The sequence below is a fragment of the Homo sapiens genome, chromosome 13, assembly GCF_000001405.40.
Source record: "Homo sapiens chromosome 13, GRCh38.p14 Primary Assembly".
Classification (NCBI taxonomy): domain Eukaryota; kingdom Metazoa; phylum Chordata; class Mammalia; order Primates; family Hominidae; genus Homo; species Homo sapiens.
This window is the reverse complement of record NC_000013.11, coordinates 51,673,118-51,690,924: the sequence shown is the minus strand read 5'-3', so window position 1 is coordinate 51,690,924 and position 17,807 is coordinate 51,673,118. Positions and strand designations below refer to the sequence as shown.

Here is a 17,807-nt window from a genome sequence, read left to right as displayed (position 1 = left end):
TCAAAACCACTATGAGATACCATCTCACACCAGTTAGAATGGCAATCATTAAAAAGTCAGGAAACAACAGGTGCTGGAGAGGGTGTGGAGTAATAGGAACACTTTTACACTGTTGGTGGGACTGTAAACTAGTTCAACCGTTGTGGAAGTCAGTGTGGCGATTCCTCAGGGATCTAGAACTGGAAATACCATTTGACCCAGCCATCCCATTACTGAGTATATACCCAAAGGACTATAAATCATGCTGCTATAAAGACACATGCACACGTATGTTTATTGCGGCATTATTCACGACAGCAAAGACTTGGAACCAACCCAAATGTCCAACAATGATAGACTGGATTAAGAAAATGTGGCACATATACACCATGGAATACTATGCAGCCATAAAAAATGATGAGTTCACGTCCTTTGTAGGGACATGGATGAAATTGGAAATCATTATTCTCAGTAAACTATCACAAGAACAAAAAACCAAACACCACATATTCTCACTCATAGGTGGGAATTGAACAATGAGAGCACATGGACACAGGAAGGGGAATATCACACTCTGGGGACTGTTATGGGGTGGGGGGAGGGGGGAGGGATAGCACTGGGAGATATACCCAATGCTAGATGACGAGTTAGTGGATGCAGCGCACCAGCATGGCACATGTATACATATGTAACTAACCTGCACAATGTGCACATGTACCCTAAAACTTAAAGTATAATAATAAAAAAAATATATATATATAATGATCTAAATCAAAATGGAAAAATTTTTTAAATATTAATTCATTAAAATAACAATAGCAAATGTATTACATGTTAATATAAATAACAATCTATAAAAAATAAGTATTTTTTCCAAAACAAAAAATTTAGTGAAAAGAGTGGCACTGTTTTCCATTTTAGCAAATCTCATTAATGCGCAGCTTAACAGAAGACAGATCCCCATCCTGCTTCTGCATACAATTTGCACATTTCTTAGAAAATGAGAGTGAAAAAGGCAAGTAACATCTTAGTATTATTATGAAAATAGCTTTCATCTCACAGATCACAGTTTGAAAACTACTGGTTTCAGTGACTGACTTGATGTTAGGCTTTGCTTAATCTTCATTTCAGATTCTGCAAATGTGCCTACAGAGTTCAAAGATTATTCTTGTTTGTTTATAATTATGAAAAGAGGTTTCACTGGCTACCAAACAATGGGACATTGTTTCACCCAGGAACCCAGAGGGTACGTGCCTTTTTCCTCTCCGGTCAAATGCCTATGAGCCTAATCTTTTCTGACCACATGTATTTTAAAAAGTTGGGGGAAGGGATGCCTTAAATGCAAATCCCCCACTTAGGCTCCGAACTCCATAAGGAAACCCCATGTCACATTTCTAAGATGGGCATATGTCATACTACATGGAAGCGTCGGAAACAAGAAAACTAAAGATAACTGGGGTTTGTGCAACCACAGCAGCTGCTTGCCTCTCCAGATTCCATATATCACCTACAAAGAGACAAATTCAGGTTTACAAATTCTTCCTATAAATTCCTCCTCAAATTCAGGTTTACACATATAGCACAAAAAACAAAGCAATTTCAAGGTTTCTCCACACACGAACTGTTTGGCTGCTGCCCCTCTAGTCTGCCTGGATGCTTCACGGTTTACCTGTCATCATCTTTTCTCATCAATGGTAACAGGTTTTTGTGCCCTCCCACCCCCGGTTCCCCAACACTGACTGCAAGTAACCATATGCAGTTGGCTTCTCAATAATATCCCTCCCAAGAGGATGGAAGGGAGAAAAGACACACAGGTTTGGATGTAACCACTTTCAAGACCGCCTCTGGCAAATTTCAGAATCTTAAGGACAGATGCTCTTGGAAGTTATTCAGTGAATGGGGAATATCCTGCTCATGGCCAAACTCTGAAGCCAGAACACTGATGTATCACACAAAGAAAGCTGCTAGCTAAAGTATTTTGTGTCCCCGCCACCCTTCAGTGAAAGAGTGTTGTACATTTTAAATAACATTTATACACAATAAAAATTCTGCTGTAATATTAAACAGCAAATGATATGAGATCAGTTTAGACAGTTTAGTTGCTGATATTTATTTTTAAAAAGAAAAAATAGCTCAAAACTTTTGAGAAAATTATTCTGAACAAAAAAGTTGCCTGCTGAAATTGAAAACTGCTTACACCTAACATCATAATATTTAGCCTAATGGTTATGAGGCTGACAATTACTGTTTCTCTACTCAGGAAAGCTGCTGGTGAAAGAAGTTTGGATCTTTGGTTGTTAAGTTTTGGATTTTGTGGAGTTTTAGAGTTTGTAAGGGGTCTTAGAGATTACCTAGCACAATGACTCATTTTTTAGATAGGGAAATGAAAGTCTAGAGATACTAAGGAAAAAGTCTCAGGGTCAGAGGCTTACTTGGTTGTATGTTGCATAGCCCACACTTAAAATGTGGATCTGTCTCTTGATTTTTTATCCACTGATCTTTTGACTCACACAAACCTCAAAGAGCCCCCTCAAAATGACATTAAAACTCAGGAGAGTATTTCATTGAATCTCTATGAGCAAAGAAAAAAACTACAGTGCAAATTCTGAAGTCACTACACTCTTCAGAAAATCCAGGTGACAACGCATTACATGAACACAAAAGAAAAATAAGCAGAAAGCACCACACGCCACTAATGCCTCCATCATGATCCCTGTTACCCAAGTCTGACACCTGGAAGCAGGACCAAATGGTTGGCATGGACACCGGCTAATCAGAACAGACACTGGCTGCAGACAGCAGCAACTGTGTACTGACTGAACACAAGCTTGGCTGGGAGTTATTTTTGCCAACTACCCCTTCTCCCCACTCAATTTCTCCTACACATTTAGTCATCAGATCCTTACATCCTTCTTGAATCCAAGCCCCTTCCAATGCATTTCCAAGTAAACTACGTTTATCTTTGACAGTGACCTGCGCATCCCCATTTCCTAGCCTTTGATCTAGTGTCTCATTTCCCCAGCCGTCATCATTTTTCAAACCTATCCTTCTGAATGGTCTCCTTTCATATAATCACCTCAGGCAGGATGGAGCTTTCTGTTCTGAATTTCAAGAGACTCTAGCTCTTTTAGGCTATTGATCACAGTCTGCATTAAATGAAAGCTATCAGTGATCAGATCATTTTATCCTTCTTTACAGATTTTAAGGAATGGAGTTCTGGTTTTCCTAACATGTCTCCCCAACATGTCCAGCATCGTTCCTAATATACAATATATGAGAGGTAATCAATAAATATGAAAAATAAAGAAATAATACTCCTTTTTTTTTTTTAGCTCAAGTCAGGATTTTCGTTGTACTACTATTATAAACACTCCTGCTGTGGGGCTTGTGTACTGACTGTTACTCTGCCTTAAACACTCTTCCCAAGACAAATGCTGGACTCACTCCTCCAACCTTCAAGGCTTCTGCTCAGATGATATCTTCTTAATGAAGCCTAACCTACTGGCATCCATTCCCTCTACCTCACACTCACATTCCCAATCCCCCTTACTCTGTTCTATTTCTCCCCATAGCATGTATCACTTCTATGACCTTCTAACATATATAAATTATAATGTTATTTATAAAGAGATTAGTAAATGCAACATAAACAAGAGGAGGGGTTTTTCAGCAGGGGAGGGTATATTTTGATGTATCTCAAGTACCTAGAACACTGCCTGGCACATAGTAGGTGTTCAATATATATTTTAAAAATTGAATAAAAATGTTAAGTGTTATATTAATTTACATAATAGCTCTCTATTAATATACTTTTAAAATATATGAAAATATTAATACATAATATACTATAAAAATATTAAGTATAATTTTTTCAGTGATGGTTTTATATATATATATATAAATAAGTGTGACATTATTAGTGTTTTCATTTAGATAGGCCATCAAAGAAAGATTCAACAATTTGCTCATCAATAGTAGGCTTGAAAGTAGGAACTAGATTTCTCAATTGGGGGTTCAATGTTACCCACAGTAATTTTGAATGAAAATATGTGCAATTACCAGACATTCAAATAATAAAAGAAAAAAAAAGAGAGGCTAATTGCTAAGCTATTACTTTTCCTAATCAATACTGAAAAATAGAACAGTACATACTTTTGACTCTAATCTCAGTAATAACCAATGCTTTACTTCTTGGGTTAATAGAAAACACAGTAATGTGTTGCTTTTTCAAGCTGTTTATAACCATGGTCTCCACACTAAAATGTTATAATTATCTCTTTTTCTATATTTAAATTCATATATTTTCAGTCCTGAACATTATTCAAACAAAAATATACATTTGGCAAGTAATGAACACCAAAAGAAAGCCAATATTACATGTAAAACCCAATCTTTTTTGTCAAAAATGGCACGCACAAGAAACTAGTTTAAAAACAATGAGTTTTTTAAATTATTGTTAAATCTGAGGTGGCAAATAATTGTGTAAAATACACTGCTCTTTAACTTCAGATAAAATTAACCTTATCTAAAAGTAAATTAAAGTTCACCTACTGCTGAAATGAATATAATTTCTGCCATGAAAACAGTAATTACCACTTTCTGAGGGCTTACTGAGTGCCAAGACCTTTAAGGTACCTCATGTAATCCTCACAGCAACCCCATGAGGCACAGATCACCCTCAATGAACAGTGAGTAAACTGAGGAGTATGTGAAGTTAACCAACTTGTTCATGATGATCAAGCTAGAAGATGGAAGACCTGGGATACAGATACAGACCTTTATGGGAGCAAAGTTCATACCTCAACCCCACCACATCTGTCCTTGCTATATGAAGGCAAGGTATGTTAATCATTTCTCCCACAAACTCTGAGAAAGCTCTACTTGATAAAGGGAGGGAAGAGAATAAAACAATTGCTTCCCTATCAGAGTGTTGGGAAGAAAGGGCTTCTATAAGGATGACTAGATTATGAGAATGAAGGTGAAAGGAGAACGAACTTCTGGATGGAAACACAAAGGAAACTGGTTTGGCTTTTATTCACTCAAAAAATATTGCCATTCCAATTTGCACAGGGCTCTCTACTAGGTATTGGAAATGCCAATGCATACGTTTCCTGCCTCCAAGTTGCTCCGGCTAATGGAGATAAAGAAAACAATGAAATTAAATGTTATTTACTAGACATGTTTAGGGACTACATTGACCCTTGAACCATGGATTTGAACTGCACAGATCTACTTATACATGGATTTTCTTCCACCTCTGCCACCCCTGAAACCAACCCCTCTTCTTCCTCAGCAGCCTACTCAACGTGAATAGGATGAAGATGAAGGCCTTTATGATGATCCACTTCCATCTAATGAAAACATACTTTTCCTTCCTTATGATTTTCTTAGTCACATTTTCTTTTCTTCAGCTTACTTTATTGTAAGACTATAGTATATAATAAATATAACATACAAAGTATGTGTTACTCGACTGTTTACGCTATCAGTAAGGCTTCCAGTCAACAGCAGGCTATTAGTAGTTAAGTTTTTGGGCAATCAAAAGTTATACTCAAATTCTCAACTGGAAGGGGAGGTGGGGTCAGTGCCCCTAACCCCCACATTGTTCAAAGGTCAACTGTATATACATCTTACTTAATACAAAATTATATAAATGAAATGCACATGTAATCTAATGATACACAAATACTAAAGTAGAAATTTGAACTAAGGGCTGTGAGAATTCTTACAAAGAGTCTTTCAACTCTGCTCTGTAATTAAGGCAGGCTTCTCATAAGAATGGGTTTGGGGCTTAAAGCTAATTCTTGAAGGTAGAAGTTCCATAGAGGCGGCAGGAGGTCAGTGAAGGAGAACATCTATTTTTGGCAAAGGACTGCATGTACACAGCCATGGATATCTGAATCAAAAAGTTTGAAGTTTGGTGGGAAAGTTGTGACAGGTGAGACTGACCAAGTGGGGAGAATGAAGGGCTTGGAGCTTCATTTTTCTAAAAGTGATTGAGAGTCTATACACAGGGGAATGTGTATAGAACTTTGGATATCTGACGGCGGAGCAGCTGGAGAAACCTAGAGACAACAGGCAGTTTGACCAATCTAGGGCTTACTGCAACAATCCAAGTAAACCTGTAAGAGATGGAAATTTCAAAAGTACTCTTGGGAATAGACAAAGAAGGCCAGAGTCTGGAGACAGGTCTGAGCTAAGTCAGCAGGCCATGGGCACTGATACCGTGAGGTTAGAGGGAAAATGTGGGGCTTATTTCTGGTTGGAGTTACTCATTGATGCCATTTACTGAAGGAAGAGAGAAGAGCATATTTGGAGGGAAAGAGAATTATTTCTATTTAGAATATGCTAAACTGGAGTGCAGTCTCAGGCTCATGAGAACAGAATGGGCCACAGTCTTGAGAACTGTAGGTATAGGATAATTAAGCCACAGATGCAGATCACCAAAAAAAGAGTAAGCAGCAGGAGGGCAGAACCTTCGGGAGCCTCACATCTAAGGCTCTAACAGAGAAAGAAGAACCAACAGAAAAATCTGGAGGTAACTCAGGGTTTACTAAACTTAAAAAAAAAAAAAAAACACCAAATACTCAACCATGATATGACTCAATCCACTAGAAGGCATCTTTTTGGCTCCTTTCTTTTTCTACCCGTAGCAATAGCTCTGGGCTGAAGAAGCTGCCCTAATGTTTTGACTTCTCTCCAATCCAGGAAACAAGCTGGACTTGCATGATTGCTGCAGATGGAAAAGCTCTTCTGTTCTTTGTGCCAATATGGTTAGAAGTCTTTTTGCAACCGTGAAATTTGTTTCAATGAGCTTAAGGTCTAATACTGATGGTTGTCTTCCTACACTAAATGAGTACATATTTATAAAAATGTAAAACATTCACTGGTAACTGAGAGAAGAGCTATTCCTCCATCTGTAATGAGGTGAAGCTGCAGGAGAGTGAGGTGTGGAGCCTGCATTCAAGGCTTAGTGTAGGAGGATCAGTAAATAAACAGGGAAGGGCACACATCTTGGAAAGAAAAACTACTCAGGTTTCCACCAACCTGGGTCACTGTAGCATCCAAGTGCAGCCAAGCAAAGACATACAAGCCCAGCATTTAACCCCAGCACTAAACCCCAGAGACTAGGACATACCTAATACCACTCCCCTCTCTGCTAATGTAAGCATCTAGCCAGCAAGGGGGAAGGCTTTTGCCAAGACTGCCTCAGATCACACAGTAGGTGGAGCAACACCAGGTGACAGCAGTTCCGCAACCACAGGGGCTATAAAAGAATGAGTGCTTCCTTCATGCATTTTGGCTCTTGTGAGTTCCCAAGCTTTACAGCAAAAGAATAAATGTCAGATGATTCCCTGGAAGATATATTTCATGACTCTGCTGTTGTCAAGGTACTCTTGAAAGGAATGCCTTCCAAGGTGAGTAACAGTAAAATGCCACACACCAGCCCATCTGGGCTTGAAACCTTGCAATACAAATGACAGTGACATGGGAACCATGGTTCACCTCTAGTTTGTATAAAAGATGAACTCAAAGTAAAAATCAGCAAAATATTTGTGTATACAGAGAATATTTTCAAATGTGTAGATGGAAATGGTTAAGAAAAGAATTTTGATACCAACAGGACTGATTCCTATCGTTGATTTTAAAAGTTGTAGGACCACAGATGGCTCTCTGGACATTGGTCTATCAAATCCAAATTCCTAAAACAATAGAAAGCAATTTAACCCTTAATGGCTTGCAATTTTTCCTTATTCCATACTCTCAATCCACGAAAATAAGGGAGTCACTTGTGATGACAAATTTGCTACATCTTCTCCAGTCATCCATTCAGAGCATCTTCAGTACTCTGTACACCTCTCCAAGCCCAACCCCTTTTCTTGAGGACGATGAAGATTAAAATGGCAACAACTTGGATAAGAAACTCCTTTGCAGAAAAAAGAGTGTCCATGTCAGAAGACAGCCCATGTTTTGCAAATCACTGGTAAATTCCTGTGATGCAACAGCAAAGACTAAAGATGGGACCAGAAATAAGTTGAATAGTCCTAAGGAATATGCCATGACTAAGACATTTCCTCCCCTTGGAACTGGCCCACTAAATGCTCATGACATAGACTTTAACCAAGGCTTCCTGGTTACTGCAAATGGAGGATGCTGCTACTGATGATGATGATAATGACACTGACAGGAGTTAATATTTATGGAGCATTTGATACATACAGGGACTGTTCTAAGAGCTTTCCATGTATATATCAGATAGTCCTAATAACAACCCTATAAAATTGGTACAACTATTACTCCCATTTTACAGATAAGGAAACTGAGACACAGAGAGTAAAGCAACTTGCCCAATGTGACACAACTTGAGGGGGGTAGAGGCAGTCTGATACCAGGGCTTGTGCTCCGAACCTCTTTGTAATATCAACTCAATAAACTATATTCATTCATTTACTCGCTCATTAATTCAGTCTATAAATATTTACAGAGCACTTAAAATTCATGGACATTGTACTGGGTGCCAGACTGTAACAGAGTCAAGTACACACAGTCCCTGCTTTGCAGAGTTTATGCTGAATATATGCCATTAATAAAATAATTACATCAGTTATTATTCCAGGGGAGATAGATTATTTAGATATAAGGTTCCTAGGACAAAGGGAAAGTAACTTGGAACATAATACTCTCATCAGTTCCCAGCCACTGCCTTTCTGAAGTGTACATGTGCTGTGTTGATGTGGCCAAGGTAACTCCTGTAGATAGTGCATAAATGACTTCAATCCACCACTCACTCTACTGAATCTCTTCAGTACCTAATTCAAAACACAGAGCAATCTGGGTGCTCCTACGGGTATTCACACTACAGAACTGGTCTAAAAGTCGATTCAAGAGGGCCTTTGAAAATTCACAACTGCAATGGAAGTGCAACAAATTAATCTCAGGTCAAAAAATGCTCTTGGTATCTGCATTCACGACTGCTTGACCAAGTTTTTAGATAACATGTAGGTACTGAGCAAAAGATGACAGGGCTACACGCGCAATGACATAACTGAGGGAGAAGGTTAGTTTTTGAGAGGTCTTTGATTCACACAAATACCAAGGGCACAATACAGCAAGAGTTTTCTTTGATAAAAGAACCTTCAGCAAATGATATTAAATGAATAAATAGTAAGCAACTGGAATGTCAGCACTCTAAGACTATTTTCCTGCTAAGCATAGCTCCACACCTATAGTATTAAAATATGCATATATTTTCATATATTACATATGTAATATATATGTTTAAATTCATTGTAACTTAGCACAAGCTCAGAAGAAAATGTCTACTTAACGCTGTATAAAATGAACTCTTCACATTAGGCAGTCCAGTGACTCAGAATGATAAAATGACTCAGAAATGCTGGTCTTCTATGGTAGAAACCATGGTATAATGACAGAATCATAAGCTAGTGTAAATAATGGCAGGGTTATGTAACAGTTTAAAAGGAGGAGGCCCCATAGATTCCACGCACACATTTCTCTGAACACAGAGCTTCCTGAAATTTTCTTCAAATTCACCTTCTATGCCCACATGATAAGGATATTATTCATAAATGGTATCACACTAGAAGTCCTGGAAAACAGAAAATTTCAGAAGCAACATCAATTCTCCTGTAAGTACAAAACTTGGAATGCATCATGATGACTGATGAGTGAGAGTCTACTATTACACTGCTGTTTTGAAGCTGATTAAGGTGAAAATTTTCAAGACTGTCTCTCCAGCAGAGTGAACTAACTGTACAGTCAACTTGCTTGGGTACAGCTGAAGTGCTTTATTCAGAGGCCATTTGTCGTCACCGTAGAACATGACCTTACCATTTGGGTTCAGTTCCCCATAGGCTCGTTATAATCCACGGTAATAAACAACTCATCCAAAACACCTTGTTAGATTAAATGCTGAAATTCCTGCCCCCAACCCAACACATATTTTTTAACAGTGGCTGGATGCACAGAATAACACAAGCTCCTTCCTAATTCACTAGTGAATACCCTAGGGCAATTCCTTGCAGCTGGGCTGTCCTACTTGTATGAAGAAATTGGCCTGGTATAATACAAAGAAAATTTGTCTAGGGCTCAGGGAAGTCCTAGCTCTGCCACCATTATCCTGACATGGGGCCTATTCAAGATATCACTTAGTCTAGAGGAGAGTGGCATTAGCTGCAGAAGAAGATCCTTTCAATTATATTTTCTTATCTCCCACAAGAGGATTTTGAATCATCTTCTTTTAATATCCTTGGATACTTCTTCCTGAAGACATCATGTCTCACATTGAGAAAACTGTTTCCAAATCAACTGCTCTAACACTGTTAGGGAAACACAGTAGATACAATATTACCAGATGTACTGAGTTAAACAGTATTCTCTCAAAATTCATGTCCACCCAGAACCTCAGAACACATCCTTATTTGGGAAATAGGGTCTTTGCAGATGTAACTAAGACAGGATCATACTGGATTAGGGGGAGACATAAATCCAATGACTGGTGTCTTTATAAGAAGGTCACGTGGAGCCGGGCACAGTGGCTCACACCTGTAATCCCAGCTACTTGGGAGGCTGAGGTGGGAGGATCCCGTGAGCCTAGGAATTAAAGACCAGTCCAGGCAACATAGTGAGACCCCATCTACGAAAAAAGCCAAAACATTAGCCAGGTATGGTGGTGCACATCTGTAGTCCCAGCTACTTGGAAGTGAGAGGCAGGCGGATCACTTGAGCCCAGGTCTTTGAGGCTGTAGTGAGCTATGATCACGCTGCTGCACTCCAGCCTGGGCAACAAAGCAAAACCCTGTTTCTAAAACAAACAAATAAACATCCGTGAAATGAGCCAAGCATGGTGGTGCACACTTACAGTCCTATCTACTCCAGAGGCTGAGGTGGGAAGATTACTTGAGTCCAGGAGCTCAAGGCTGCAGTGAGCTATTATAGCACCACTGCTCTTTGGCGTGGGCAACAGAGCGAGACTCCATGTTTTGTTTTGTTTTTTTTTAAAGGAGTCCATGTGAAGACATAGAGACATAGAAAGGAAGGCAATGTGAAGATGCAGGCAAGAACTGGAGAGACACATTCACAAGCCACGGAATGCCAAGGATTGCTAGCAACCACCAGAAGCTAGGAAAAAGCAAGGAGGAATGTTCTACAGCTTTCAGAAGGAGCATGGCCCTCCTGACACCCTGATTTCAGACTTCCAGGCTCCAGAACCATGAGAGAAAAACTGCTGTTTGGTACTGTTATGGCAGCCCTAGGAAACTAACTTACTACATAACCCACATGAACTAACAGTAATGTATACTGTAAGAGTATAATAATCACAATCACAAGAACTACCAAAACAACAATAAATCCATACACAGTCAATGTCAGTTATTTTTAGACAATAATCACTATTCTGAGTGCTAACCATTTATAGATCAATCCTCTCATCCCAATCAAACTTCCCATAACACACACGAGATTAATCTTCAGAGAATAGAGATTTTACCATTTTAAGGCCTTTTTCAAAAAATCTTCAATGACCATGCATTTATCTTAGCAAGATATTAATAAAAACTGTGGCTCCCTGTAAGTTTTGATGGAGAAGAAAATAAGTATTTATAAAGATATATATATCTCTCTCCACCCTATACTATCCTATAGCAATTACTCAGGGTTGGTGAAAATTAGTTTAATGGAAATGCTTTACTTCTGTGTTGACATTTCCTCACCAGTCAATTATCCCCTTTAAATATGGTATGAAGTCTTGGAGTGGGATGGGGAGAATCTTCCATGTTACGATCCAGTACCTTTACGTTACATAATGCTTACTACTCATCCTGAATCAAGGCTTTCATATTATTTCATTAATTCTCTACCAAATTAGTTTATATCTCTCCAAACATCTTTGGTCCTTTGGTACCTCCATGGTTTGGGTGGTTTTTTTCCCCCACTCCATTAATTTTGTCTGAAATATGTTACTTTCCTATCTTTAGCTAATCCAATCCTAGCCAGTCTTCTAAATCCAGTTCGTATTCAGGGAGCTGCCCTAGACCATTATCTCCCACTGTCTTCTGACCTCACTGCTTTGCCAACATCACACTCATTGGTGTACCGGTACTTCTGCTATTATTTGTTTACTTTGTGTTACTTATTTCATAATTTCATTTTTCATAAAAATGAAAAATGTCTCCCTAACTGAATTATAAAGTCTTTGAGACCAGAAGCCACACTATGTTAGAATTGAGCATAATCTTTTGTACAGAGTTGATATTTAAATATTTGTTAGTTGGCTAGAATACATGAGACATAAAAATGCAAAGTTTAAAGTTCCACTTCAGCATGAATAGCAGTTAGCACAATCTGACTAACTTCTCTCAATATTAAAACAGAAGACATTACTGAAAAAGGTCAAGACAAGTTAAACTATTGGCATAAATTTTTCCCCTACAGAAGGTCATTCTATTTTGAAAAACATTTTGAATGGTAATAGAATTGTACAAATAAACTATCTCAGAATTTAAGCAAGTGCTTACTACAATCAGCTATATTAAATAATAATAGTGTTTATACTTTAGTCAATAAACTAACAAATTATTCATTGAGTTCCCAATTTGTAAAAGGAGCCACAATAAGATCTACCAGAGGAGAGATGAATAAAGGACTGGCCAACTCTTCAACACCCAGCGGTTTAATGGAAGAGACAGACTTTTCAACAGTGTGCAAAGCAAAAGTTAAATACACAATACAACATAGCTAACCTACTGAGTACCGTGTGTGACTAATTTCAATTGGTAGGGCTCAGGAATCATCTGCCAAAAATAAAAATACAAACAAAAAGATAACATTTTAATGAGGTGGGGAAGATAATTAAAACTTTGTAGACCAAGATGGCAGAGCAGAATTCTGAGCTATATGATTAGAAAAGAGCAAAAGGTATAGGTAGGAAAATTTACTCTCACCTCATTATCTTTACCTTCTCTCAGTAGATGACCTCACCTGCTACCTCACAGGAAAAAATAAAAGGCATTCCTCTCCTATATCGCAAAACTGAATGACATTTCTCTCTCCTTTCCTGCTCTCTCAACTGTCCCCATTCTTTCCCACAGCTAACTTTTCCAAATTGTTCAGGACCCTCTTGCTGCTTGTCTCCTACCAGATCTTGCTCCAGTACTCACACTCTCTCTCCTGCTCTTTGTGGCCACATTTTTTGAAAGAATGGTCTCTACGTCTTATTTCTACTTCATCTCTAATTCACTACTCAGCTGCCTAAGTTTAACTGTCTATCTTACACAATGTGTTCTTTTTATTCAGTAAAATAAAGTGAAATAATGATGTTACTTTCTGATTTCACACTTTCTTAGTTTTAAAATAAGTTAACCACTATTTCTTCTTAAAATTTATTTGTTATAACCAGGAAACAGAATATATAGTCTCTGACTAGGATTTCTTGTGTCTAAAAAGTAAATTATTAAAACAGCTGAGACTAAGTATTTTCAGTAAAGAGCCTGTTATTGCAGTGATCAATGTGAATCCTGAACCTTAAACATGCTGTTCTCTCAATGTATCTTTCCCTAACATAGAACTCTTTCTAATTCCATAGATGAGAAGAGGTAGGGTATGCAATTCATCTTCCTCAACAATACAAAGGAGGTACTTTTAAGGAAATTATTTCATATAAGCCAGGGTCCTGAATCTTTTTCAGAAGACTGGAGTAAGTTAAGGTTTGATGTCTCAACCCTGTACTGACATACTTGGAAAGATGGACCCTGACTGATGCTTTGCTTCCCTGGCAGTTTTATTTACTAAAAGAATAATGGCTAAGATGGTTTCGCCTCTTATATACAATAAATAGCTAGAATTCTCCATAACTTACTTTGCTCATCTTTCTTGCCTTCAAAGCCAAATTTATCAGTATCCATTAACCACCTACATTAACTTCAAAAGTGCAACAAACCACTCCTATGTTATGTAAACCTAAGTTTTTCCATGGACAGTGAGCGTTACGCAAACTATCCTATAACTGTTGGGAAATGGAAGGATCTCAGTTCACCTTTTCATATTTCCTTTGTAATGAACACTTCAGAAGTCCACTGAATAATGATCTCCCTTTATCTTTTAAAAATAAATTTATCTCATATGCACACCTCCTTTTAAAAATGGCTCTCCTCAAAGTAGACAACTTTGTATCATAAACTTCTATCTACCTAAGAAACAGAGTTTACAGATCTACCAAATGTATTGGATATTACAGAAATTTCATAAATACTTGTCACTAGGCTGATTTATATTTAACAATATTGTTAATAGTCACAGAAAGGACACCAAGCAAATGTTTTGACTAAAGATCAAAGACAAAACTTTAGGCCCACTAACATTTGTAGGGGCTGGGGCAAGATTACAAATGGAGGCCCACATTCCATGTTTACATGTTTAAAAGTTACAAGTCCAGTTGAACTATTAAATAAAATATGGTCTCATCCTCCAATCTTGACAAATACACCCTTCACCAGCTGGAGGTACAGGTTCAAATTTAGAATTCTTAGTCTCCTTTAAGTTCCACGCCATATTGTGGTGACACGGGGGGCCAGCCCACTCCCCTTCTCTTTCTATTCCCAGTTTTGTCAAGACCTTGAGGGGCCCTGCACTCAAGGGTGGACATCCTGTCTACCGCAAACTGCTACCTCTTTGCCACCTCTCAGGCCTAAGAGCATACTCACTGGTTTTATCTTTCTAAGGACACATCTAGGAAAAAGGTCAGTGAAGACTCTGGAAGCAGGTTCTGAGCAGTTTGGGGCAGGAAATTCCAGGGTCTTGGTAGTGGGAGGATGGAGTGGGAGAGAGGGAGGACTTGGGCTGATCACATACATCCCCTTGAGCCCTCAGATCCTCCACCCTGTGGGGAAGTGTGAGCAGAGCAGGGCCTTCTAATTCATAGGTTCTGAAGCAGGGCTTCTCTCGCCCAGGACTAAAGGCAACGCTGGATAATTTACCAAATGGAGAATTTACTAGATCAGTCTTGTTATTAGTTAATATACTAGTTGAAACTTAGTATGTAGAAAGATTAAGTAGGTAAATAAAAGCCAAAATTCCAATCTTTAATCACTTCAGTTCCCCCAACATCTATAATCAAAGGGTCTAATATTTATGTGGATCTATCTACAGACTAAATCTAGATTCTGTGCTTTTTTTCACAAATTCATACAAATTTACAGAATTCTATTCAGATGCTAAAGGGAGCTGGAAAAAACAAGAAGCAGAAGGAACAAAGAAAGAACACAGAGTATCAAAGACAGGATCAGACATGCAGACATAAGGGAAAGCATTTTCCTCCTGTTCTGTTGCTTATGTGGCAAAGCTTAAGGCACCATGATTAACCATCTGATTAAAGCCACTAGTATCATAGCTTGCTCTCACTAATGCAGATTCATGCAGTTTACTCATTGGCCTCCGATTGCCCCCATTCTAGCCACTCTGTATAGGGTAGGTCAAGCTGAACCTTGTCAGCATTTAAGTGGATACTGATGATAGCTCTCCCTACATTAGAATCTCTTACCTCGCCATAATTTGCTACGCTGCAATTTTCATTCTACTTAGCAAGAAAATTCTTCTGTTAACTTGAAAAAACTAATAAATACATATACATACTCCACAGGAAGGGAAGTATTTCAACTGGAAATCTTATTTATGTGTACTTACTGAGATTGTACCATTGTCTAGACCTATGGACAGTCTTCTTGTTTCCGGGTTAAAAGACATGCATGAACATGGAGCTGAAAGAAATGAACATGTTGATGAAATTAACAAAACCATGATTCTCATCGACTCAGGAGTGCCTAACTAGCTAAAAGTGTGGGGCTGTACTTTCCCCACTATCTCCTGGAAAACATTTCATTTAACATCCACTCACCAAAAAATAAAAACAGTAATTTTACAGCCACCCCATAGTTGTTCAGTTATCCTTTTAATGAATATAACAAATAAGATATTCTCAAACTGGGCAAGTTCCAAGGGGCTTGGTCTTGGCTGGTTCTGTCAGTATGGACTCTAAATTTGCTTAACTAGATTAACAATACTTTGTGCTGTGTAACGTTTCTGTTACCACTCTCTCTGTACCACTCCAATTCCATCTTAAATAGAAATAACCTATCCTTTCTGAACTAGACAAACAAAAGAAAGATCTTATTATCCCTCCACCCTCCCCACCCACATACAGACACATACACACAGGAGTCTAGAAGTCTATTTTTTGATTCAGAATTGATTCGGGGCGTGTGAATTAACAGGAGTTTTTTGCTTTTGGCCTTTGGGGGTGTGCTGGAGTCTGCTGATTGAAAATGACAGAGGAGGATTTGTCTCAATCTAAAAAAGAACCAACTCATCATAGGGCTTGGCATTGTAGGAAAGAAACCAGGTAAGTCAGTACACCCAGGCCTGGACTGGTTCTCCCTGTTCCGCAGGACTGACGGCCTGAGTACACCCGAGCCTAAGCAAATTAAGTATGCTTGGAAGCCACGTGTGGTCAACAAGTGCTTACTAAACAGTCAGCTCCCAGGTCCCTGCCTTCTCTACCTGTGCTTGCTCCTAACTGCTCCCACTAAATAGGGGGTCTTTTGACAATTTACCCAATACTGAAATATTTAATAGTTGTTCTAAAGAGCCCAGCACAGTTTTTATATGTCTCCCTTCATATTCACAGAAGCCATGTAGATCATGAACTACCTATTATCATAATCACAATCAGCATCAAATATTTTTTATTCCTACTTTTCACGGGTATGATTAGATGTTTTACCCAAGGTCACATAGGAAACACTGGAGAAGGTTCAAAGACATCATTCAAACACACAGTCCCATTTTCAAACAACCAACTTAGATTATTTTTAAACTAAAAAAGAATTTCAAGTTCTACTGACAGCCACTAAGTGAACATATCACTTAGTAACATATTTTTCATTCTTTATAAAAGGGCCCTGAATAAAACAACAAAAAGACCTTCTAAACTGCATATTTACTTTTTTTCTAATTTTCTATCATGATATATTCAGAAAATAAAAACTAGTAGAATTTCCCCCAAAAACTTCCACCTGTATAACAGACTATCTTCTTTCTACTTAGCTACAAAATAAAACCAGATTCCCAAGAGTACACTCCTGAAAACAGCAATCAAATGATATTTAATGCACTGCCCTAAGAAAGTCAGTTTTATTGCCCTTGACCAGTAAACTATGTTGGCACAATTTCTATACAATATTAAGATGCCGGGTCTCATAATCCCATAACATGTGTGCAGAATTAGAATCTAATAATCTCATGGAAAATTGTTAGCTGAAAAAAAATCTAAAGAAAAAATACACTGTGATTACAATTGTGTAAAGTACATACACACATAAGTACAGGATACATGGAAAAATTATTCTTGTGTTCAAATGACAAGATTATTTCTATAACACTGTCTTTACTCTTATTTTGCCATTCCTGTTAAAATGAATTTTAAATATGTCACAATTTATGAAGATGTAAGTATGAGCATATGAAGCAAAACTCGATTGCAGCCTCAAGGGGCTAGTGACTAGCCAGGAACAACCTTATCATTTAGCTGCCCACTTGACCATCTAAAAGTATTTCCTGTGTGATTTCCTCCAAAGTCCATATCCGGTTATGCTATAATTAGAAAACCCACTGAAATTTGAATGTGATTTAAAATACTTTTTTACAACACTGCATAGGCTACTCTTAAATCTTCATTGCCATTCCCTTATTCCTTGTTTTTTCCCCAATTTCCTATATTTCTTGTTATTCTTTCAAGAAAAATTTAGAATCCT

The 17,807-nt window shown here is 38.1% G+C and overlaps 1 protein-coding gene across 9 annotated transcripts in view; it reads right to left on the bottom strand.

The window, feature by feature from the left end:
• Positions 1-17,807, bottom strand: part of WDFY2 (WD repeat and FYVE domain containing 2) — a 183,248-nt gene that overhangs the window by 76,785 nt on the left and 88,656 nt on the right. For 6 of the 9 annotated variants that reach the window (XR_007063659.1, XR_941483.2, NM_052950.4 and 3 more), the window contains exon 3: positions 15,682-15,755. The exons of the other annotated variants lie outside the window; for them this stretch is intronic. Coding sequence is in view for 4 of the 6 variants with exons in the window: in NM_052950.4 (NP_443182.1) it covers positions 15,682-15,755 (74 nt within the window). In the remaining 2 variants the exon portion in view is untranslated. The remainder of the gene's footprint in view (positions 1-15,681; positions 15,756-17,807) is intronic. 9 annotated transcript variants of the gene reach the window in all.